At 45.9% G+C, this 23,203-nt stretch overlaps 1 protein-coding gene across 18 annotated transcripts; it reads left to right on the plus strand.

Annotated features, from left to right (window-relative positions):
- The first annotated feature begins 18 nt into the window (after positions 1–18).
- NPIPA2 (nuclear pore complex interacting protein family member A2) lies at positions 19–22,948 on the plus strand. 18 transcript variants are annotated; one of them, NM_001277324.3, is made up of 12 exons: positions 19–619; positions 2,323–2,416; positions 5,175–5,272; positions 5,514–5,671; positions 8,230–8,361; positions 12,678–12,806; positions 16,433–16,532; positions 16,696–16,840; positions 19,798–19,905; positions 20,924–20,984; positions 21,094–21,129; positions 22,489–22,948. In NM_001277324.3, the coding sequence occupies exons 5-12, from the start codon at positions 8,299–8,301 to the stop codon at positions 22,897–22,899; spliced, it is 1,053 nt and encodes a 350-aa protein (NP_001264253.1). In that variant the 5' UTR covers positions 19–619; positions 2,323–2,416; positions 5,175–5,272; positions 5,514–5,671; positions 8,230–8,298; the 3' UTR covers positions 22,900–22,948. The 18 variants fall into 18 exon arrangements, with proteins under 18 accessions (NP_001264253.1, NP_001382415.1, NP_001382414.1 ...); XM_006720917.5 differs by lacking the exons at positions 19–619; positions 2,323–2,416; positions 8,230–8,361 and adding exons at positions 8,420–8,506; positions 21,626–21,695 and having other exon boundaries at positions 5,227–5,361; XM_011522594.4 differs by lacking the exons at positions 19–619; positions 2,323–2,416; positions 8,230–8,361; positions 22,489–22,948 and adding exons at positions 8,420–8,506; positions 21,626–21,695; positions 22,308–22,326 and having other exon boundaries at positions 5,227–5,361.
- Positions 22,949–23,203: the final 255 nt, after the last annotated feature.

The raw sequence follows: 23,203 nt of genomic DNA on the forward strand, positions 1-23,203 counted from the left end.
GCGCCCAGCGCCCCGCCCAGGGCTTCCTGGCTGCAGTGGCTGCTGCCCCATCCCAGGGCCGCGGGGCCCGGGTTCCACTTGGCGGCGTCTTCTCTCGAGTCGCCTTCGCTGCTCCGAGAAGTCGGCGGCGCAGCAGTTGACGCTCAGCTCGCCGCAGGTCGCCATATTCCCCGCGGAGGCCGGCTGGGCTCTCGCCTCAGGCCGCCCACCCTGCTCCGGCCGCCGCGGCCTCTCCGTTCCCGCAGCCAGAGGTGGGGAGAGAGCGACCTCCAGGCACTGGGCACCCGCCGCTTCCCCAGCAGCCGGCGGGGCGATGGAGAAAGACGCCAGGAAGCGGAAGGTCCCCGCCGGCCCGAGGGTCGCCCGGGGCTGCGCCCCATGGTTCCTGCCCACGGAGCAGCTGCCGGGACCCTCCCTGCCAAGTTGCTCCCGGAAAAGCTCTCAGGTTCTCAGGCCTGCAGGGAGTGACAGTTTCCCCCTGACTGGAACGTAAGGCTGCAAACTCGAAGCCAGGCATTTTCTGCGTATTCTTAAATAGGATGTTTCAGTCAAAGCCTTGATAATATAACCAATCATTCTGATTACAGCCTGCTTATAAGGAGAACATGTGTACATCAAAGTAAGAATATTTATGAATAGTTTCCAAACTTTGGAAGGATCAAGTAGGAAGGAAAAACAAACGCTTCCACCCACCTTTGTTCACAAAAGTGTGCTTTACCAAATCGGTGTAAATTCTAGATAACTTCTGAGAAAAAATTTTCTTCAATCTAGAAAACAAAACAAGGGCCCGGCGCGGCGGCTCACGCCTGCAATCCCAGCACTTTGGGAGGCCCAGGCGGGGGGGTGATCACCTGAAATCAGCAGTTGGAGACCAGCCTGGCCAACATGGTGAAACCCGGTCTCCACTACAAATACAAAAACTAGCTGGGCGTGGTGGCGGGCGCCGGTAATCCCAGCTACTCGGGGGGCTGAGGCAGGAGAATGGCTTGAACTCAGGAGGCGGAGGTTGCACTGAGCAGAAATCCCGCCACTGCACTCCAGCCTGGGTGACAGAGTGAGACTCCGTCTCAAAAAAAAAAAAAAAGAATGAATCAAGAATCAACAAACAACAATGTTTTAAATACGAATTATAAAAACATTATCTTAATAGATTTTTTTGTTTTGCTTGATCTTGCTTAGCAGTTTTTTGAACCATTGTTTCCTTATTAGAAGCCACTAGAAATTGGTTTTTAGTTCATTGGTTTTTATTTTTTTTATTTCTGAGACAGAGTCTCAGTCTGTCGCCCAGGCTGGAGTGCAGTGGCACAATTTTGGTTCACTGCAACCTCTGCCTCCCAGGTTCAAGCGATTCTCATGCCTCAGCCTCCCGAGTAGCTGGGATTACAGACATGCACCACCATGCCTGGCTAATTTTTGTATTTTTAGTAAGATGGGCTGGCCAGGCTGGTCTGGAACTCCTAACCGCAAGTGATCCGCCTGCCTTGGCCTCCCAAAGTGCTGAGATTACAGGCGTGAGCCACTGCGCCTGGCCCATTGATTTTTAAAAAAATATTTAGTTTTAATGTATTGAGGGGGTATAAGTGCGAGTTTCTCACATGCCTATAGTGGTGAAGCCTGGGTAGTTCATTGATCTGGGTTATCAGAAAACCATGTTCAAGAGGATTTGTTAGAGTTTTCTCCATGCAAAGCAAATTTGGGGGCCGGGCGCGGTGGCTCCACGGCTGTAATCCCAGCGCTTTGGGAGGCTGAGGCGGGCGGATCACGAGGTCAGGAGTTGAAGACCAGCCGGGCCAATATGGTAAAACCCCGTCTGTACCACCACCAGTTAGCTGGGCGTGGTGGCGGGCGACTGTAGTCCCAGCTACTTGGGAGGCTGAGGCAGGAGAATCGCTTGAACCCAGGAGGCAGAGGTTGCAGAGAGCCAAGATGGCACCACTGTACTCCAGCTTAGGCGACAGAGCCAGACTGTGTCTCAAAAACAGGAAAGAAAACAAAAGAAAATTTGGACTACTGCCAATTACAAATATTTTTAGAGAAGAATTCAAAACTAACTGTGGATGATGAAAACAATAGTTATGATAAAAGTCTGATGAAACTTCCCAGTTCACAAGGAAATTTAATTACTTTTTTTTTTTTTTTTTTTGAGACGGAGTCTCACTGTGTCACCCAGGCTGGAGTGCAGTGACGTGATCTCCGCTCACTGCATGCTCCACCTCCTAGGGTCATGCCATTCTCCTGCCTCAGCCTCTCAGCCTCCCAAGTAGCTGGGACTACAGGTACCCGCCACCATGCCCGGCTAATTTTTTTTTTGTGTGTTTTTAGTAGAGACGAGGTTTCACCGTGTTAGCCAGGATGGTCTCGATTTCCTGACCTCGTGATCCACCCGCCTCGGCCTCCCAGAGTGCTGGGATTACAGGTGTGAGCCACTGTGCCCAGCCAATTACTTATCTTATGTGCAGCATTTTAAGACAGTGATCAGAATCATGACTGACAGCATTACATCAGGACCACCAGTGTTTTATAAATTTCATATCATCTTCAGAAATAATTAATAACTTTTTTTTTTTTTTTTAGATAGATTCCAGCTCTGTCGCCCAGGCTGGAGTGCAGTGGTGCAATCTCGGCTCACTGCAACCTCCGCCTCCTGGGTTCAAGCAATTCTCCTATCTCAGCCTCCCGAGTTGCTGAGATGACAGGCCTGTGCTACCAAGCCTGGCTAATTTTTGTATTTTTCATGGAGACAGTATTTTCGTGTAATTTTCACCCTATTGGTCAGGCTGGTCTTGAACTCCTGACCTCAGGTGATCCACCTGCCTTGGTCTCCCAAAGTGCTGGGATTATAGGCATGAGTGATGGTGCCCAGCCATTCATAACATGTTTATGCAAATATAACTTTAGCAAATATTTAGCATATATTTAGCATAATATTGCTAAAGCTAAACTTTAGCAAATATTTAGCATAACAATCAAAATTACAAATCATAACATATTAAATTTGTATAAATGTATGTAATTTTTGGAACACGTATATCAACAACATACCCATAAATATAACTGAGATGAGATCTAATGTCACCTCACTTGACAGTGCCCTCCCATGCAGTATCACCACATTTGACAATGCCCGCCCATATAATCTACCAAATAAATCGAATCACTTAATACCTCTACAAGATGAGAGATGCATTCTTTAGACTCCCGAAGGGATGCAGCTGAAAAATCCCAAAGTTAATTTTAAGCCAAAAAGACCTGATTTAGGATTTTGACACTGGAGAAACCCATCAAAGATGTCAAGTTTGTAAACACTTGATCAAAACAGAATCACAGGTCACTATTAAAAAGGGTATTCATTTAACCAGAGACTTCCAAAGCAATACAGAAACTTACATGGATATAAAAACCTTAACCCTTTTAAAGGTCAGATTTGCTAAGTGATCAAAAGGGGTACTTGAATTGAATCGACACAGGAAGAGTGTGTACAGGGTTACGAGTGTAGGCAAATGGTTACTTTGGTCATATCTCCATTTGCCACCTGATTACACATGAGAATGGCATCTTTACTCACCAGAAAGCCAGTATTATGGGAGGTGTAGGAGGCATTCTTGGACTTGAGACAAGAACATTGTTGTGTAGAAATTTCATTGACTGTGTTAAAATTATTCTCCATGGGCTGGAGAACACATAATGTGGTGTTTAGAATGAGACGGGCATTGATTGGATGCAAGGTCTCCACACTTACTAGCTGTGTGACATTGGACAAAGTGCTTCATCATTCTGAGACTCAGTTTTTAAAGGAAAAACAACTAACTACCTTGCAAGCTTGCTAGCAGGTTTAAGTGTAATAATGTGTGGGAATGACTGCACCGTGACTAACACGTAGTGACAGCTTAATTAATGTTAACCCTTATCATTATCATATAAGAATGTGAATTACATAAGGGAGGAATCCTGTCAGTTCGTTCTCTGCTGTGTCCCCAAGACCATGAATCATGGCTGGCACGTAGTAGGCATTTAATAATATTTGTTCAACAAGTATTTGGCAGTCTTGGAGGGCAGAAAAGGAGGTGGGGAAGATGTTTAAATAACATTTTTTAAAAAGTCACATTGTCCTACAATACCAATTTTTCTTGCATATTTAGGAAATTGAGGGTTTTTTCCTAAAACACGCGGACATATGGGAAATAGGATGCAACATTTGCACTAATGTTTCCGACACAGTTAGAGGTTTCCAAGAGATTTTGCGCTGGGGAGGCTGCTTGCTACAAGCTCCCAAAGCTCTGGGAGGACATAGTATTCATTCCTCCCTCAGCAGAAGCGGTGAGGCAAGAAGCTCTGGGGAGCATCCAGCCTTGGACTTTTAGCATAGTGTGTCAGGTCTTCATAGTTTGGGCCCAGGGCACAGAGAAGTCACAGCTCTCCGGCATCCTGTGACCTTTACCCTCTTTGCCAAGGGAAAATGTGGCCCTCCAAAGCAAGAAACTTGAGGTCATGGGTCACCCCAGCCCTGGCATCTGCCCAGAGCCCGAGAAGGAAGGAACAATGATCCTCCAGCTACCTCACAGGGCTGGCACAGGTGGCCACTGCCCTGGCATCACCCAGCTGTGTTCGGCAGCCTGAACCCCATCTGTGGGGATGTGAGGAGGAAAATACAAAAGTCATTAGGTGAACACTGAGAAGGCAGATGCAGCAGAAGCCTCCAGGCCAGAACTACCCAGTCTTGGACCTATGGTGGAGATAGAGCATAGCTGGCGATCATGTGTACTTACACTCTAAGGTCACCTGGTTGCCCTATGGCCTCATCTGTGGCTCTGAAAATGAAGATTTGGAAGGAGATCATCACAGCTAATGTTAACAAGCCCCTCCTGTGTGCCAAATCATTCACCCCTCACCACAACCAAATGAGCTAAGGATTCTCGTTATATATAGTTTATGGAGAGGGAAGTGCAGACATAAAGAGGTGAATTATCTTACCCAGATCACACAGCTGATAAGTGGTGGAGGCAGAATAGAATCTAAACAGTGTGGCTCCGGAGCCCACATGCATTGATTCGACAAGTGTTTATTGAGCACCTGCCGCGGACAAGGCCTTGTGTGATTAAATAGGGTTATAATTAGTAATATAAAAATGAGAAATCACTAATGCTTTTTAGACTTAACATTTTCTTTCTTTGTAGGTTTCAGGCACAGAACTGTATATCCAATAATAGTGAAATGGATCCCACTAATTATGACCGAAATGATGATACATTTAAATGACTTGGATGTTTTATAGGTATGATCTCGTGAAACCTTGAGAGAAACTGAATGACGAATGAAACTATTGTTCCTGTTTCACACAGAAGAAAACTGAGGTTAAAAGGGGTAAAGTAATTTTGCATGGCATGAAGTAGAAATTCAAAGTACAGGAATTTGAACTTGGTTCTGTCCTTTTCTGAAGCCCTTGACCACTATAGACTCAAACATCACCTTGTTTTTCCACTCATTCAACACTTTTTTTTTTAATTGTCTAATAGGTTGGCACTCATCATGAGCCCCTGTTCTCATTCTGCAAATGGTGAAGCTCTCTATTGTCCTGACCCCACGGTTCCTGTCCCATGACCAGGGCCAGCTCACCAAGGAGCTGCAGCAGCACGTAAAGTCAGTGACATGCCCATGCGAGTACCTGAGGAAGGTGAGTGAGTGCAGACAGATGGGGCCTGGTGCCCTTGAGCAGTTCCCGGGTCTCAGCTGCCACACATCTCATAGCGGGTGATGCTGGGGGAAGCTTACGCAGTCTCAGTACTGGCTTCTTCCTCTTTTTCTTTCCATACAAGTGGCTTAGGGATGGGGTAGAGTAGTTGACTTATTTGGATGAAAACCACTATCTTCTGTCAGAAACTCAAAAGGAATCATTGCTGGCATGGTAACCTAAAGAAAAACAACCAGACAAGTGCCCAACGACACTTTAAAAGGTTATTTATTATCTTGCCAAGTTTAGGCTGGGCATGGTGACTCATGCCTGTAATCCCAGCATTTTGGGAGGCTGAGGCTGGTGGATCACCAGAGGCCAGGACTTCGAGACCAGCCTGACCAATATGGCAAAACCTCGTCCCTATTAAAAATACAAAAATTAGCCGGGCATGGTGGTGTCAGCCTGTAGTCCCAGCTACTCAGGAGGCTGAGACAGGAGAATTGCTGAGATTCAGGAGGTGGAGGTTTTAGTGGGCCGAGATCACGCCATTGCACTCCAGACTGGGCGACAGAGCGAGACTCTGTCAAAAAAAAAAAAAAATTATCCTGCAAAATTTGAAAAGGAAATTCAAATCAACAGCTTCTAAACTACTTTTTAACATGACTCATAATAAGAAATACATTCTACAGTACATATATATGTTCTATAATTTTGAATAAAAGAATTAACCACATCATATTTATTTTACAACATGTAATACATATTTTTTATTCTCCTTCATTTGTTTTGAATGCTCTGTGCAGTCTACAAAAAGTCCAGTAGTAATAATTAAATTATTCATTAAGTTGAACATTATCTTGTCTTTTAAAATGATAATCTCAAAAATGATCTTTTATTTTTGAGATTTATATAGATACACACACACACACAGACAGACACACACACACACACATATATATATATATATATATTTTTTTTTTTTTTTTTTGAGACAGAGTTTCACTCTGTCCCCCAGGCTGGAGTGCAATGGCACAATCTTGGCTCACTGCAACCTCCGTCTCCCGGGTTCAAGCAATTCCTCTGCCTCAGCCTCTGAGTAGCTGGGACTACAGGTGTGCACCACCATGCCCAGCTAATTTTTGTATTCTTAGCAGAGATGGGGTTTCACCATATTGGCCAGGCTCGTGTCAACCCCTAACCTCGTGATCCGCCTGCCTCAGCCTCCCAAAGTGCTGGGATTACAGGCGTGAGCCACCATGCCCAGCCAAATCTAGGGCTGGAACATGGCTGCAGCATATAAAAAGAATTGAATTCCATACTTTTGTTAACCCTGTTTTTTGTTTGTTTGTAGTTGTTGCTGTTTTTGAGACAGAGTCTCGCTCTGTCACCTAGGCTGGAGTGCAGTGGTGCAATCTCGGCTCACTGCAGACTCTGCCTCCCGGGTTCAAACTATTCTCCTGCCTCAGCCTTCCAAGTAGGTGGGACTACAGGCGCCCACCACCACACCCAGCTAATTTTTGTATTTTATTAGAGACAGGGTTTCACCATATTGGCCAGGCTGGTCTGGAACTCCTGACCTTGTGATCCGCCCGCCTCAGCCTCCCAAAGTGCTGGGATTACAGGCGTGAGCCACCACCCCCAGCCCCTGTTTTGCTTGTTTCTTAGGGTTGTTTTTCTATTTATGGTAAAGGCATTGGCTTTCCATTTGTAGCATCAATAGAATATTTCCTGTTTACAATAACCTTATGTCATAGTAAATGGTAAAGGGATTTAAAGCAGTGGTTTTCAGCTGCCAGAGGCCTGAGTGAGTTTGGGCACACTCTGTGTGATCGGGCAGAAGGCCTGTGGGAAGTTTAGCTGAGGACAGGGCCAGGAAAGGTGATGGACAGTGGGGGTCTGTCCTGGTCACCAGGCCCCTGGGTCCTGCCCACCTGCTTGGAGCTCCCCACCCATCACACATGATGCGGCCAAGCCCTCTGGCTATTGTGGGCAAATACCTTAGGAGAGAAGCTGATGAACTTTGTTTCTTGAAATGCACAGATTCCTTGGACGTCCCTGAGAGCTCAGTCATGAAAGTCAGCTTGGTTTTCTCCCCCTCATTTGGGTTCAGAATTTAAAGTCCACACACACGGGCAGTAAGATGATATAGATAAGGACATCATCACTCGGTTTTGGATGTTAAAATGTCTAGGTGGGTTAGGGGTGATTTGAGATCACACAACGTTGTGCCACAAAGAGGAATTCCCCGGCCAGAGGGAGACATTTTATTGCCATGTTATGATCTCATCATTGAGTTGAAAGGCAATCTTGTTTCATTTTGGATTCTTTCTTATGTTTATGTCTTATAAGGGCACTTTGAATTTCCAAGCAAATAATAATTTTGAATTAGCTTTTAATCATTGACTTCTAGCACAGTTTTATGATCAGAAACATGCTGTGTGATTTGATTGCTCTCAAATATATTGAGATTTGCTGGAACAAAATAAGTCAGGTTAATTTTTGTAAATGTACCATGCATGCTTAAAATGAATGTATGTACATTTGTTCCTGAGATACAGGTTGATGGACGGATGGCTACATGGATGTGATGGAGATGGTTTACTATCGGGACCTTCCGCATCCTGCTGATGTTTTGTTGCTTAGGATATGAATGGCTGAGCGGAGGCTGTAAAACCTGGCACTCTGCTTGGGTATGAGGTTCTTCCTGCCATCCTGCCATCATTTGTTTTTTATGTTTTGTCGCCAAAAGTGACCTTGAGGAACCCTGGGAGCTCAGGAAGGAAGGAGCGCCCAGAAGCAGGGACAGGGAGCTGGTTGGGGAGGACCAGAAGTCAGGTTTGTGAAGGTTCCAGAGAGGACCTGGCCTTGGGAGGAGCGTGGGGGACTGAGATGGGGGAGGGGTCATTGGGATGATGCGGGCGCTACTTGGAATGTCCATTGTGAGGCACCACCGGGGTCATCAGGGATTGGTGGAGAGAGAGTCTAAAGCCCCAGGGTTGCTAAGGGAGGGCCCAGACCGAAGAAGGTTTGGTGGAAAGCAGAACCTTTGTCTCCCTCTAATTGCTCCTAAGCCTCACGCTCCCTTGCCCTGCCTGTCCTGTTGCTTCCCTGATCTTCTCCGTGACCTGTAGCTAAACCTTCCACCAGCGCTTGAGAACTTAATTTGAACCGGATCCTTTCCCAGACCCCTTTCTTCTTCTCCTCCTCCTCCTCCCCAACAGCCCCCTTCTCCTCCTTTCCCTTCCCTTACTTCCCCCCTTCCCCTCCCCTTCCCCTCCCCCTCCCCTCCCCCTCCCCAACTCAGATCCGGCCCCGGTCCCCGTCCCCTTCCCTCCCCCCTGCCCTAAGCCACCTCCACCTCTGTCCTGGCCGCCTCAGGGAGCCCTGAAAGGACCAGGACATGCGGGTGCGGTGGCTACTCTTTTGGCTCCTCTTTTGGCTCCTGCTGGGATTTATCAGCCATCAGTCCACCTGTGTGAGTAGATGGGTGCTGTGGCTGCTCTTTTGGCTCCTGCTGGGATTTATCAGCCATCAGTCCACCTGTGTGAGTAGACGCTGGACCCGCGGGGTTTGTTCCTTTTTACTGGGCTGTGTCACGCGGCATGAAATTACACAGCTCAGGCCTGTAATCCCAGCACTTTAGGGGGCCGAGGTGGGCAGATCACTTGAGTCCAGGAGTTGAAGACTAGCCAGGGCATCATAGCGAAACCCCATCTCTACAAAAAATTCCAAAAAAGATTAGTCGGGCCTGGTGGTGCGTACCTGTTATCCCAGTTACTGGAGAGGCTGAGGTGGGAGGATCGCTTGGGCCCAGGAGCTGGACGTTGCAGTGAGCCGAGATGGCCCCGCTGCACTCTTGTCTCCAACAGACAAAACGGACCAAAACAAAGTGAAATGTCATTTGATTTGTGTCATCTGGTTTGATGACTTTTTTTTGTTTGTTTGTTTTTTAGACAGAGTCTCACTCTGTCGCCCAGGCTGGAGTGCAGTGGCAAGATCTCGGCTCACTGCAACCTCCGCTTCCGGGGTTCAAGCAATTGTCCTGCCTCAGCCTCCTGAGTAGCTCAGATTACAACGCCTGGCTAATTTTTGTATTTTTAGTAGACACTGGGTTTCACCATGTTCGCCAGGATAGTCTCCATCTCTTGACCTCGTGATCCGCCTGCCTCGGCCTCCCAGTGCTGGAATTACAGGCGTGAGCCACCGCGCCTGGCCAAAATATATAACCTCAAGTGTAAGTTTACTAACTTTGGAAAGTACATACACCAGCATAAACCAACCCCCGTTCAAGATCTACATTATTTTATTTATTTATTTATTTATTTATTTGAGACAGTTTCTCCCTTGTTGCTGAGGCTGGAGTGCAATGGGGCAATATCAGCTCACCGCAACCTCTGCTTCCCAGGTTCGAGCGATTCTCCTGCCTCAGCCTCCCGAGTGGCTGGGATTACAGACATGTGCCACCACTCCCAGCTAATTTTGTATTTTTAGTAGAGATAGGGTTTCTCCATGTTGGTCAGGCTGGTTTTGAACTCCCGACCTCAGGTGATCCGCCCGCCTCGGCCTCCCAAAGTGTTGGGATTACAGGCGTGAACCACCGTGCCCAGCCAAGATCTACACTATTATGTCACCCCAGAAAGTGAACTCTCACTCTTCCCAGCCAGTCTCTTTCTTATCATAGGTTAGCTTGCTTATTCTGGAATTTCGCGTATACAGATGCATGCCATGCCATAGGTACTCTTTTGTGTCTGCTTTGTTCTGCTCAACACCATGTTTCTGAAATCATTACCATTGTTGTATGGTTCTCTAACTCCATCATTTCCATTTCAGACTCAGCATATGCTGAGTTCAACCTGTTGAAGGGCTATCTCTGTTTAATTCACCATCTTGAAAGAAACACTTAAAATTGAGATGTTTTCAAGAATATATAGTTAAATCCTGAGGAATTGATGTAGAAATGTTATCACAAGCTGTCTGAACTTACTCAGGGGAAGTCTTCGTCTTCACTCACATAAGAGTCTAATGGAATTAATATCAACAATCTTAGAGAAATCCCACACTATTCATGCCATTTTCATGATCTCCACCTTGGTAATTTTTTTTTTTTTTTTCAGACAGAGTCTCACTCTGTCACCCAGGCTGAAGTGCAGTGGTGCGATCTCGGCTCACTGCAACCTCTGCCTCACGGGTTCAAGTGATTCTTCTGCCTCAGCCTCCCAAGTAGCTGGAACTATAGGCGCGTGCCACCATGCCCTGCTAATTTTTTGTATTTTTAGTAGAGATGGGTTTCACCGTGTTAGCTAGGATGGTCTCAATCTCCTGATCTCACGGTCCACCCACCTTGGCTTCCCAAAGTGCTGGGATTGCAGGCGTAAGCCACCACGCCCGGCCCACCTTGTTAATTTTTAAGCACTAAAATTCGATACTTATTTGTGAATGAAGTAATCTCTTCATTGTATTTTTTTTTTTTTACTTATACTGAGCTTTAAATGACAAAGATTCATGTAATCCAAGAGAGAAGTATTATTTAGAGGGATTCTTTTACCATGTGATATGTAATAAATGCATCCAATGTTATACATCAATTTAAAAAACAAATAATTAAAGAAAAGATAACTACTGGCCAAGTGCAGTGGCTCACACCTGTATTCCCAGCACTTTGGGAGGCCGAGGCAGGTGGATCATGAGGTCAGGAGTTGGAGACCAGCCTGGCCAAGATGGTGAAACCCTGTTTCTACTAAAAAGACAAAAATTAGCCGAGCGTGGTGGCAGGCGCCTGTAATCCCAGTTACTCAGTAGCTGAGGCAGGAGAATCGCTTGAACCCGGGAGGCGGAGGTTGCAGTGAGCTGAGATCATGCCACTGCAATCTAGCCTGGGCGACAGAGCAAGACTTTGTCTCAAAACAAAAAGAAAAGAAAAGATAATTACTTTATACTTAGCTTGTCTTACCCATGAGTGACGGGCTGCATGTGGCCCAGGACAGTTTTGAATGCAGTTCAACACAAATTTGTAAACTTTCTTAAAACATTAGGAGATTTTGGCCAGGTACAGTGGCTCATGCCTGTAATCCCAGCACTTTGGGAGGCTGAGGCGGGCAGATTACCTGAGGTCAGGAGTTCGAGACCACCCTGGCCAACATGGCAAAACCCCATCTCCACAAAAAATACAAAAATTTGCTGAGTGCACTGTCAGGCACCTGTACTCCCAGCTACTCAGGAGGCTGAGGCAGGAGAATCACTTGAACCTGAGAGGCAGAGGTTGCAGTGAGCCGAGAGCACACCACTGCACTCCAGCCTGGGTGACAGAGTGAGACCCCATCTCAAAAACAAACAACAAACAAAAACAAAAAAAATGGCCGGGCACGGTGGCTCACACCTGTAATCCCAGCACTTTGGGAGGCCGAGGCAGGCAGATCTCCTGTCAGGAGTTCAAGGCCAGACTGGCCAACATGGTGAAACCTCATCTCTACTAAAAATACAAAAATTAGTCGGGCATGGTGGCAGAGACCGGTAATCTCAGCTGCTCGGGAGGCTGAGGCAGGAGAATGGCTTGAGCCCAGGAGCTGGAGGTTGCAGTGAGCCAAGATTGCACCACTGCACTCCAGCCTGGGCGACTGAGTGGAGCGGAACTCTGTCTCAAAAAAAAAAAAGAAAAAAAGTTTTTTTTTTTAGATCATCAGCTATTGTTAGTGTATGTTATGTGTGGCTCAAGACAACTTTGCTTCTTTTAATATAGGCAGGGAAGTCAAAAGATTGGATATCCCTGCTTTATACCAAGAATGACAACACCCCACATTTGCAATGCCTAAAAACACTACCAGCCATCTGAAAAACATGAGACTTCTCTAACTTCTGTTCTTTTTTGTAGCAGTGGAATCCCATGGTGATATCTGAGGGATGTGGTTACCTTTTGGAGGAGGTTGACGGTTTCTAAGGATGATTCTTTCTGAGTGAAATATTGTCAGTGTCATTGACCTTTTCATTATTTCAACTATTATTATTCCAGGTTATCAATACTCTGGCTGACCATCGTCATCGTGGGACTGACTTTGGTGGAAGTCCTTGGTTACTTATCATTACTGTGTTTCTGAGAAGTTATAAATTTGCCATCTCCCTCTGCACAAGTTACCTTTGTGTGAGTATACTAACTTTCTGTAGAGGTATACTTGTAATCACAAATAAGAGTAAATTATATGAAACAATTCACGTTTCTGGACTTCATTGTGAATATGTGGTTTTACCCAAAAAATCAGGGAAATGATTTATTAGCATAAGAATTATGAAAATATCTGCCATTTACATTATGAAAATTAAATAGGTCGGTGTTTAATAGAATGTCAACAGAGCTTTTGGTCAAAAATAAGTTTTTTTAACCTTTGTGCTATTTGTCACAAATGGAGTATGAGGTTTCGTCACTTAAATGGGAAAGTCTTTCTAAACTCTTCTGCTTTATAGTTCTATCGTATGGGTGGAAGGAAAGCTTCCAATCTCCTCTCTGAAGATTCACTGCAGAAATGAGCTGACAACAGACAGCTTAACAGGAAAAGAAAAACATAGAACAGACATAAACATGGGAACCAGCTGAAAAATGAGACTGCTAGAAGGGCTGGATGGTTGATGCTTAAAGAGCACCCTCTTCTGAGGGGAGAGGGAGATAGATGGAGATGTAGGCCATTTAGAGGGGCAGCAAATGATTTTTAGGGGAAATGAAAGAGCCCAAGGAACAAACAGTTGGCCTGAGACAAAGTTCCTCGGAGGTCATAGGGACGAGGTGACAAACTGCCGGAAGGTGAAGGGCAGAACTGCACTGCGTCTCATGATGCAGAGAAAGCCCCAGAGAATCTCTTAGAACTGCCCTCCAAGAGAATCAATGAAAAGTGTGTCTGGGCAGGGTAATTTTGAATGACATCATTCAAAGTGCATGTTCCCACTTGCAACTGGAGAGAGATCAGTATGTCAAAAGTCTGTACTTGGTAAGAATTTGGCTGCTAAGTTGTGCCATAATTTGTCTTTTGAGCCTTTTATCCTTTGGGTAAGTTGAGCTCTACATTTTGTCTTGCCATTCATGACAGTAAAAATGTGGTTGTCTGGGGGCTGAACCTCCTTCTGAACAATGATCCAAGATAAAAGTACTAATACCACAATGCTTTTTGATATTCAAGGGAAGAGGAAGTATGTTTCAGTTTTACCGCCTAGATAATTACACGTCATTTGGCACTGCCTTTCAAGATATGTAGAAAACAGAAAATATATGAGTTATGAAGATATCTAGGCACATTTAACATTCTCTATGCCACTTAGTCCTGAACAGAGAATTTTCGGTATAAATTGGAGGAAGCTTTTTTTTTTTCTTTTCTCACCCCCAAGACGAGTCTCCCTCTGTTGCCCAGGCTGGAGTATAATGGTGTGATCTCGGCTCACTGCAACCTCCACCTCCTGGCTTCAAGTGATTCCCCTGCCTCAGCCTCTCAAGTAGCTGGGATTACAGGTGCCCACCACCATGCCCAGCTAATTTGTGTATTTTTAGTAGAGTCGGGGTTTTACCATGTTGGCCAGGCTAGTCTCAAAACCCGACCTCAAATGATCCACCCGCCTCAGCCTCCCAAAGTGCTGGGATTACAAGCGTGAGCCACCACGTGAGCCAGGGGAAGTTTTTAAATTTACCACTTTTTAACAATTCCATTAGGAAAGTTCAGTTGAGCTATTGGACTTGGACAACTTTGCACCTCTCATCTTTGTCCTTGTCATCTAGTCATCTATACCATTACCTCCTAAGCAGGGACATCATGGGTGCCATGAAGCATTCATGTGTGATGGCATTTCTTTGCTTCTCATTTCTTCATGTGTTTGACATTTCTCCTAGCTCCAAACTGGGCCAGCTACCTTTCCTATGAAATCTAGCAGTAGCTGTGGGATAGACGTGGTTTCTCTTTTCATCTTTTTAGATTACCCATTGCTTCTCTCGAAATCCTAGTACATGATTTTTTTTTCATCCTATGTGCAGAAATCAGGAAAAAACAAATTCTACAAAGAATTTGAAAGATATTATTTCAGGCCAGGTGTGGTGGCTCATGCCTGTAATCCCAGCACTTTGGGAGGCTGAGGCAGGTGGATCACTTGAGGTCAGGAGTTCAAGACCAGATGGGCCAACATAGTGAAACCCCATCTCTACTAAAAAGACAAAAATTAGCCAGGCATGGTAGCAGGCACCTGTAATCCCAGCTACTTGGGAGGCCGAGGCACAAGAATCGCTTGAATCTGGGAGGTGGAGGTTGCCGTGAGCCAAGGTAGCGCCACTGCACTTCAGCATGGTTGAGTGACACTCCGTCTCAAGAAAAAAGTCATTTCAATGACTACCTCAGGAGATTCATAGGTATCTGACCCACATCTGAGATGGGATTTGCATTGCATTTTAGCTATGATGAGAACAAATATTTAATATCTTAGAAGATTAAAAGCATACTGTGATAATATGGAAATCTTGGCGGGAATTCAGTCATTAGTGAGAATGTTTTGCGTTAAGTTCAAACCAGCCTCAACGAAGCTGATGTGAGGGAAGGGAAAGTGAACTCTGAGTAGAGCAGGGACAGAAGAAAGATGCTCCAGTGCAGATCAGGAAGGAGCAGGGGGTGAAATGTTACAAATTCTAGAACTCAGAGAGCTGAAGGTAATTAATTACTTCCTTTTCAAGTTGTGAAACATGTTAACCTGTGGTAAAATACTTACAAGATGATAATTACCATCTAACCGTGTTGAAGTGTACAGTTCAGTTGTGTGAAGTATATTCATGTCATTTTTTTTTTTTTTTTTTTTTGAGACGGAGTCTCACTCTGTCACCAGGCTGGAGTGCAGTGGTGGGATCTTGGCTCACTGCACCCTCTGCCTCCTGGGTTCAAGCAGTTCTCCTGCCTCAGCCTCCCGAGTAGCTGGGACTACAGGCGTGCGCCACCATGCTCAGCTAATTTTTGTATTTTTAGTAGAGACGGGGTTTCACCATGTTGCCCAGGATGGTCTCCATCTCTTGACCTTGTGATTCACCCGCCTCGGCCTCCCAAAGTGCTGGGATTACAGGCGTGAGCTACCGCACCTGGCCTATTTTTTTTTTTTTTTTTTTGAGACAGAGTTTCAATTTTGTTGCCCAGGTTGGAGTGCAATGGCACAATCTCAGCTCACCACAATCTTTTCCTGCTGGGTTCAAGTGATTCTCCTGCCCCAGCCTCCCGACTAGCTGGGATTACAGGCATGCACCACCATGCCTGGCTAATTTTGTATTTTTAGCAGAGACAGCGTTTCTCCATGTTGGTGAGGCTGGTCTCAAACTCCCGACCTCAGGTGATCCGCCTGCCTCGGCCTCCCAAAGTGCTGGGATTACAGGAGTGAGCCACCGTGCCAGCCTCATGTCATTCTTTGTGTGTGTGTGTGTGTGTGTGTGTGTGTGTGTGTGTGTGTGTGTGTGTGACAGAGTCTCATTCTGTCGCTCAGGCTGGAGTGCAGTGGTGTGATCTCGGCTCACTGCAAACTCTGCCTCCCAGCTTCAAATGGTTCTCTGCCTCAGCCTCCCGAGTAGCTCGGATTACAGGCGCCCACTGCCATGCCCGGCTAATTTTTGTATTTTTAGTAGAGACGGGGTTTCACCATCTTGGCCAGGCTGGTCTTGAACTCCTGACCCCGTGATCCACCCTGCCTCGGCCTCCCAAAGTACTGGGATTATACGCATGAGCCACCGTGCCCAGCCGTCATTCTTATATTATTATTTCCTAGGTGTCTTTCCTGAAGACTATCTTCCCGTCTCAAAATGGACATGATGGATCCACGGATGTACAGCAGAGAGCCAGGAGGTCCAACCGCCGTAGACAGGAAGGTATGGCTCTGTTGGAGTCCCCATAGTGTGGAAATGAGTTTGCCCTGGAAAGGGAAAGAACAGCTTCTTGCCCTCAGGTTTCTCACCTTCTCCTCTCCTCACTCTCACCAAGGGCTGAGGTCCGTTTGTATGCACACAAAGAAAAGAGTTTCTTCCTTTCCAGGAATTAAAATTGTCCTGGAAGACATCTTTACTTTATGGAGACAGGTGGAAACCAAAGTTCGAGCTAAAATCTGTAAGATGAAGGTGACAACAAAAGTCAACCGTCATGACAAAATCAATGGAAAGAGGAAGACCGCCAAAGAACAGTAAGATGTGCCTTGACACAAATACTGTTGTATGAACCATGTGCCAATCAAAGTAGACAACTGTAAAGTCCTTGAGAATATTTTCTACAATATTTGTGGCAAATTCAGTGGGTTCAAAATTGAGTTTGTCCTTTCTGCTTCATTAGTTTAAGCTGTATAATTCCTTTCCCTTCCTACATTCTTGTTTGTCATTTTTTCAGGGGAAGAGGAGTTGCTAGTACTGGCATTGGTTTTCCTTTCTCTCTCTTTTTTTTTTTTTTTTTTTTCCTGAGATGGGGCTTTGCTCTTGTTGCCCAGGCTGTAGTGCAATGGCACAATCTCAGCTCACTGCCTTTTGGGTTCAAGCAATTCTCCTGCCTCAGCCTCCCAAGTAGCTGGGATTACAGGTGCCCACCACCACGCCCAGCTAATTTTTGTATTTTTACTAGAGATGGGGTTTCACCATGTTGTCCAGGCTGGTCTCGAACTTCTGACCTCAGGTAATCCACCCGCCTCAGCCTCCCAAAGTGCTGGGATTAGAGGCGTGAGCCACCACACCCAGCCTTTTTTTTTTTTTTTTAAATTTTGAGATAGAGTCTCGCTCTGTCGCCCAGGCTGGAGTGCTGTGGTGCAATCTTGGCTCACTGCAACCTCTGCCTCCCAGTTTGAAGCAATTCTGCCTCAGCTTCCCGAGTAGCTTGGATTACAGGAGTGTGCCACCACATTTGGCCAATTTTTTTTTTTTTTTTTTTTTTTTTTTGAGACAGAGTCTCACTCTGTCACCCAGGCTAGAGTGCAGTGGCAAGATCTTGGCTCACTGCAACTTCCGCCTCCCAGGTTCAAACGATTCTTATCCCTCAGCCTCTTGAGTAGCTGGGACTACAGGCATATGCCACCATGCCCGGATAATTTTTGTGTTTTTAGTAGAGGCGGGGTTTCACCATATTGGCCAAGCTGGTCTAGAACTCCTGACATCATGATCCGCACACCTCGGCCTCCCAATGTGCTGGGATTACAGGCGTGAGCCACCGTGCCCAGCCCAATTTTTGTATTTTTAGTAGAGACGGGTTCACCATGTTGGCCAGGCTAGTCTTGAACTCCTGACCTCAGGTGATCTGCCTACCTCAGCCTCCCGGTGTGAGCCACCGCACCCAGCCTGGATTGTTGAATTCAATGCTCGGGTCACCTCCAGATTCATTTTCACAGTCTTTCATGTTTTGGTCATATTACATTGTATTTTGCTGCCATATGACTGATCTTTTTTTGTTAAATGTGAGATACTTGTTAAAAAATATTTAGCAATGAATTGAGGCCTAGTAGCATGTTATCTTGCTGCAGAAGAGATGGGAGTCTACTTCTGGGGGATGGTCAGGGGTCCTCCATACAGGCTGCAATTGAGGTCGTCAGTGCAGGCTCAGTCCCTACAAAGGCCAGGGTATTTCCTGTCCACCTCTATTCTGATGCATGACTCTTCTGGGTCTCAACCAGAGCCAGTGGACTTCAGTATGGGTCGCTTTCATTGGCAGACCCTCAATCCACTTGTTTTCCATCTAACCCCACACATGTGTGCAAAAGCTGCTGTGCTTCTTTGCATCTCAGTAGTTCCTTCTGGAATTCAGCAATGAAACTCAGGGAAATGGGTTCCAAATGCGAGGCTGACTTTCGTCCTGGGTTTCCTTCTTCTCCATCTTCACCTCATGTCTGTTTACTGCCATGTGAGCAATTTGATGTATTCAGTCATGGGTTTTATATTCTGTTTGGTGTCCCCCATTGTTCTCATCGGAGATCAGAAGCTTCAGATGCACTTATGTCAACTCAAGAGTAGAATGCTTCCTTAGCTTCCCTCCAGAGTCAGGTTTTGTGTTTCTAGTTCCCAAGTGCACAGCAGGAGTAGTGCTGTCCTCACTGGCTTCTCATTTGCATTAAACTGTGAGCTTCTTTAGCGTGGGGACAGGACCCTGCTCCCATTGCATTGTCAGCACCTCACCACACACACCTTGTTTGAGGCCACTCCAGACAGCATGTGCTGAAGGATGCCCTGTGGTCAGAAACAAGTTCATTAACTTTCTCTTTGAAGTGTTTTCATCCCTGTTTCCTAGCATTCTGGGAATTTTACACATCCTTCCTATAAAACCAAGTATCAGGTGAGATCCTTAGGATCAGGACCATGAATCAAGTGGTGTGAGGGCAACACAGCAAACTTACCCTTTTGAGGCCGTTTCCTTTTTCTGCCCTCAATCTCTGTGAACTGAACCTTGTTAAAGTCAGTCAACACCAGGGTGGATGGTTTGCAGTTGTCACCTATTTTCAGGACATAACACCCTGACTTAGGAGCCATTCCGATCATTTCTAATTCAATAGATGCGCCCAGCATTCAGATTGCCTTTTCAGGATCTTTAAAGTCGATGACAAGAGTTCCAGTCCTGAATCATGGCAAAGTGCAGTAGTGAACTGCGGGGTTAATGACACCATATTCTGGAAGGATCTCTCTATGGCTGATGGTCTCAGTTCCGGCATCAGCCTCTGACTGAGAATCAGGTCTCACACAGGAGGAGTCAGATGAGGAGCAATCCTCTGCCTCCGATGGAGTTAGTTGTGATGAATTGGTGAGGTCTGGTTTTTCACACTGAACTAAAATGAGCTTTCGCTGTGTCAAGCACAAGACTGACCCCAGAGACACACATAGTGCACCTCATAGAAGCTTTTAATAGTCTTTATATTTACTAAAGAATAGGACTAACTATGGAACTATGAAGATGAGCTGGAAATGACAGGTGACTTGCCAGCAGGCCAGAGTGTGATTTTTTTTTTGTCCCTCAATGGGAGGTGTCCATTCTCCCTTTGCTTGTGAGAATCAGTTGGTTCATTTGTGGGAAGGTTGCAGGGGGGATCTTTGAATCAGCCTTCAGATGCCAGAAGGGCAGAGGGAATCCCACACGGGCTGGTGGATCATGTGTGTGCATTTCTCTCCCTTCTAGTCTGAGGAAACTAAGCATGAAAGAACGTGAGCACGGAGAAAAGGAGAGGCAGGTGTCAGAGGCAGAGGAAAACGGGAAATTGGATATGAAAGAAATACACACCTACATGTGAGTTCAGAAACTGAACCCCACCCTCTTGGGAAACGCCCATTGGAGTGTTGTTTTTAACCTTTGTACAATGTTTAGACCCAGTAAATGCAGAAATAGAAACAAATGGTCAGAAGACATATCGTGAGAGAGAGAGAGAGTTCACAAAACAGAAAACAAAGTACCTTAATATTTACCAGTGACCAAAAGATGTGAAGTAGCAAAACGGCTCCTGACCCCATTGCCAGCTAGACTGTGTGGAAACTCGGTTCATACCAGCCATTCTAGGGGTGGGGTGAGTTGTTGTCATCCTTAGGAAAGTGTGTTGTTGTAGGATCAACCACATCCTTCAAAAGGACTATGCCTGTTTATAAGCCCAGCTGTTTCTGCCCTGTGAAACACGGTAAAGATATTAATACAAAGAGAATACAGCTTTATGATAAAAGATGCTCAATGAAGGATGAATTAGGGATATACTGAGAATGGGGAAGGAAGCTATCATCTCAGAAGTCAGCAGGCAGTAAGCAAGAGGAGGAATCAATACAGCAACAGTTTGGATCAGACTGTACAGTTTTTTTTGTTTTTGTTTTTGTTTTTGTTTTTCTGAGATGGAGTCTCGCTGTGTCACCCAGGCTGGAGTGCAATGACGTGATCTTGGCTCATTGCAACCTCTGCCTCCCAGGTTCAAGTGATTCCCCTGCCTCAGCCTCCTGAGTAGCTGGGATTACAGGTGCCTGCCACCACCCCCGCCTAATTTTTTGTATTTTTAGTAGAGACGGGGTTTCACCGTATTAGCCAGGATGGTCTCAATCTCCTGACCTCGTGATCCATCCGCCTCGCCCTCCCAGAGTGCTGGGATTACAGGCGTCAGCCACCGTGACCGGCTCAGACTGTACTCTTACAGCCATCTGAAATACGTTTTCTAGGTAGAGATAGATTGTGTAAGGGTACAGTTGTGAGGATAACAGAAACATGGCAGATTATTTAAAATCATCCTGAAAGTGGTGCTTTATCTGATGAAAGTGATTGTAATCCATAGGGAAATGTTTCAACGTGCGCAAGCGTTGCGGCGGCGGGCAGAGGACTACTACAGATGCAAAGTAAGGAGCTTCCTCCCCGCAGTTGCAGGATAGTTCAGTGCTGATGCAGATGATGCCACGGCCCTTAGACTCTCTCAACATTCAATTTCTCATGTGTTGGCTTTTTCAGATCACCCCTTCTGCAAGAAAGCCTCTTTGCAACCGGGTAAGTTTGCTTGTTTTCCTTGCTTTTGGACATAGTCTGCCAGGTCAGGACATGGATACATTTTTCTCCCTACGGCTCTGTGCTCAAGCCCTGCAGAGGGAGATGGCAGAGAGGAAGGCTGCCTACAAGCATCACAGTCCCATCCCTGTTGGTAACCGTGTTGCGCAAAAACACCTTCATCCCCACCCAGTGGGGCCCCCATCTAATATTCTAAGTGTCAGAGGTTCCGTATTTGTAATAGCAAATGGGCCCTGACTGTAAATTAGTGAAGAGTGAATGTAACTTATTACCCACAGGGACAATTCCAAATGAAGGCCTTAAATGATGCTCAGCTAAGCTGGTTCTTGTGTGGCCTCTGTACCTTCAAAAGCTGCCGAGTCCTATGATTACACGCGATGGGACTTGTACACTTGAAGTGAAACACAGTTTTAAAACTTGCTTTGTTTAGAATTCCCACCTCATTTTTCCATGGACAAAAGTATTCTTTAGGTCCTAGTGCACTTACAATTTGGTATTACCTGGGAGTGAAAAGAAATATTACAGCCATGCCTAACTGACTTCTTGAGGTAAGATTGTTCTGTCAGAAAACCCTCTCCCAGTTCCCCTGCAGCTCTTCAGGAATCCACATCTCTCCAGAGCTCTTTGTTCTCATGGGTGGCACCTCCAGAGTGAAGAAGATCCTTTGTCAAGAAGGGAAACAGAGGGGAAATGAGAGGGTCCTGCAGGCAGAGCTGGAATCAACTTCCACTCTGCCTCTTGCAAGCTGTGTGACCCTGGGCACAATTTCTCCTTCCTCTGGAAACCTCTGTTTTCTTAGATTTGGAGCAGGGTGGTCACACTGACCTTGCAGAGTTCTGAGAATCAGAGACAGAACATAAAAGGCCTGGAAAACATTCTCCAAAAAGAAGCTGCAACATGTGTGGACAATGGGCTTTTCATGCCTCTCTTACTGTCTCTTACTGTCTATTGACCTGGTGCAAGAAACATGCTCTGGTGATGGCTGTGAGGGAGGAATGAGGATAGACATAGACACTCCTGTGTCTCAAACATGCTTCTTTATTACTCTGTTATGACTCTGTCTTCCCTGGGGCAGGACCCCAGCCTGCCTACATTTGCAGACAGACACAGTGGCATGTGGAGACAACAGTGTGTCCCAATGACTTTTCTTTACCCCCCAGCTGTCGGCAGTACTCAGTGGAAGGGTGATATTATGACACTGACACTGCTATTTTGAAACCTGGAGGATGGAAAGGTGCAAAAATCTATCACCAGCAACAGAAGGTGCAGACTGTGTTGGTGGCGGTAATTTTGTCCATCAAATGAATATGTGTGAAAACATTCCCTCCTTTGGCCCTACAGGTCAGAATGGCGGCAGCGGAGCATCGTCATTCTTCAGGATTGCCCTACTGGCCCTACCTCACAGCTGAAACTTTAAAAAACAGGATGGGCCACCAGCCACCTCCTCCAACTCAACAACATTCTATAATTGATAACTCCCTGAGCCTCAAGACACCTCCCGAGTGTCTGCTCACTCCCCTTCCACCCTCAGCTCTACCCTCAGCGGATGATAATCTCAAGACACCTGCGGAGTGTCTGCTCTATCCCCTTCCACCCTCAGCGGATGATAATCTCAAGACACCTCCCGAGTGTCTGCTCACTCCCCTTCCACCCTCAGCTCCACCCTCAGCGGATGATAATCTCAAGACACCTCCCAAGTGTGTCTGCTCACTCCCCTTCCACCCTCAGCGGATGATAATCTCAAGAAACTAAGGAAGAATAAATAAATAATATAAAAATAAAATGAATACTGCAGTCCTTATGTTATTGCTTTGTTTCAATATCTGGTATGATTGCCTGAGGGACCTGAGGTTTTTAATCATAGGGGTTTTTTTAATCTTTAGAAGTGGTTGGTTATGTAAAATATTATTATTTGTTTTTTTTTTGAGACTGGAGTTTGCTCTGTCACCCAGGCTGGAGTGCAGTGGCTCGATCACAGCTCACTGCAGCCTCAACCTCCTGGGCTTCAAGCAATCCTCCTGCCCCAGCCTCCCAAGTAGCTGGGATCACAGATGTG

Source organism: Homo sapiens, chromosome 16, assembly GCF_000001405.40.
Source record: "Homo sapiens chromosome 16, GRCh38.p14 Primary Assembly".
Classification (NCBI taxonomy): Eukaryota; Metazoa; Chordata; class Mammalia; order Primates; family Hominidae; genus Homo; species Homo sapiens.

What these genes read in the sequence shown, in the direction of transcription:
- NPIPA2 (XM_024450383.2), top strand. Translation starts at nt 5,552, where the DNA reads ATGGTGAAGCTCTCTATTGTCCTGACCCCACGGTTCCTGTCCCATGAC. An exon ending in AGGAAGACCGCCAAAGAACA is followed by an intron (nt 16,841 to 19,797) that starts GTAAGATGTGCC and finishes TCTCCCTTCTAG; the next exon opens with TCTGAGGAAACTAAGCATGA. An exon ending in AGGACTACTACAGATGCAAA is followed by an intron (nt 20,985 to 21,093) that starts GTAAGGAGCTTC and finishes TGGCTTTTTCAG; the next exon opens with ATCACCCCTTCTGCAAGAAA.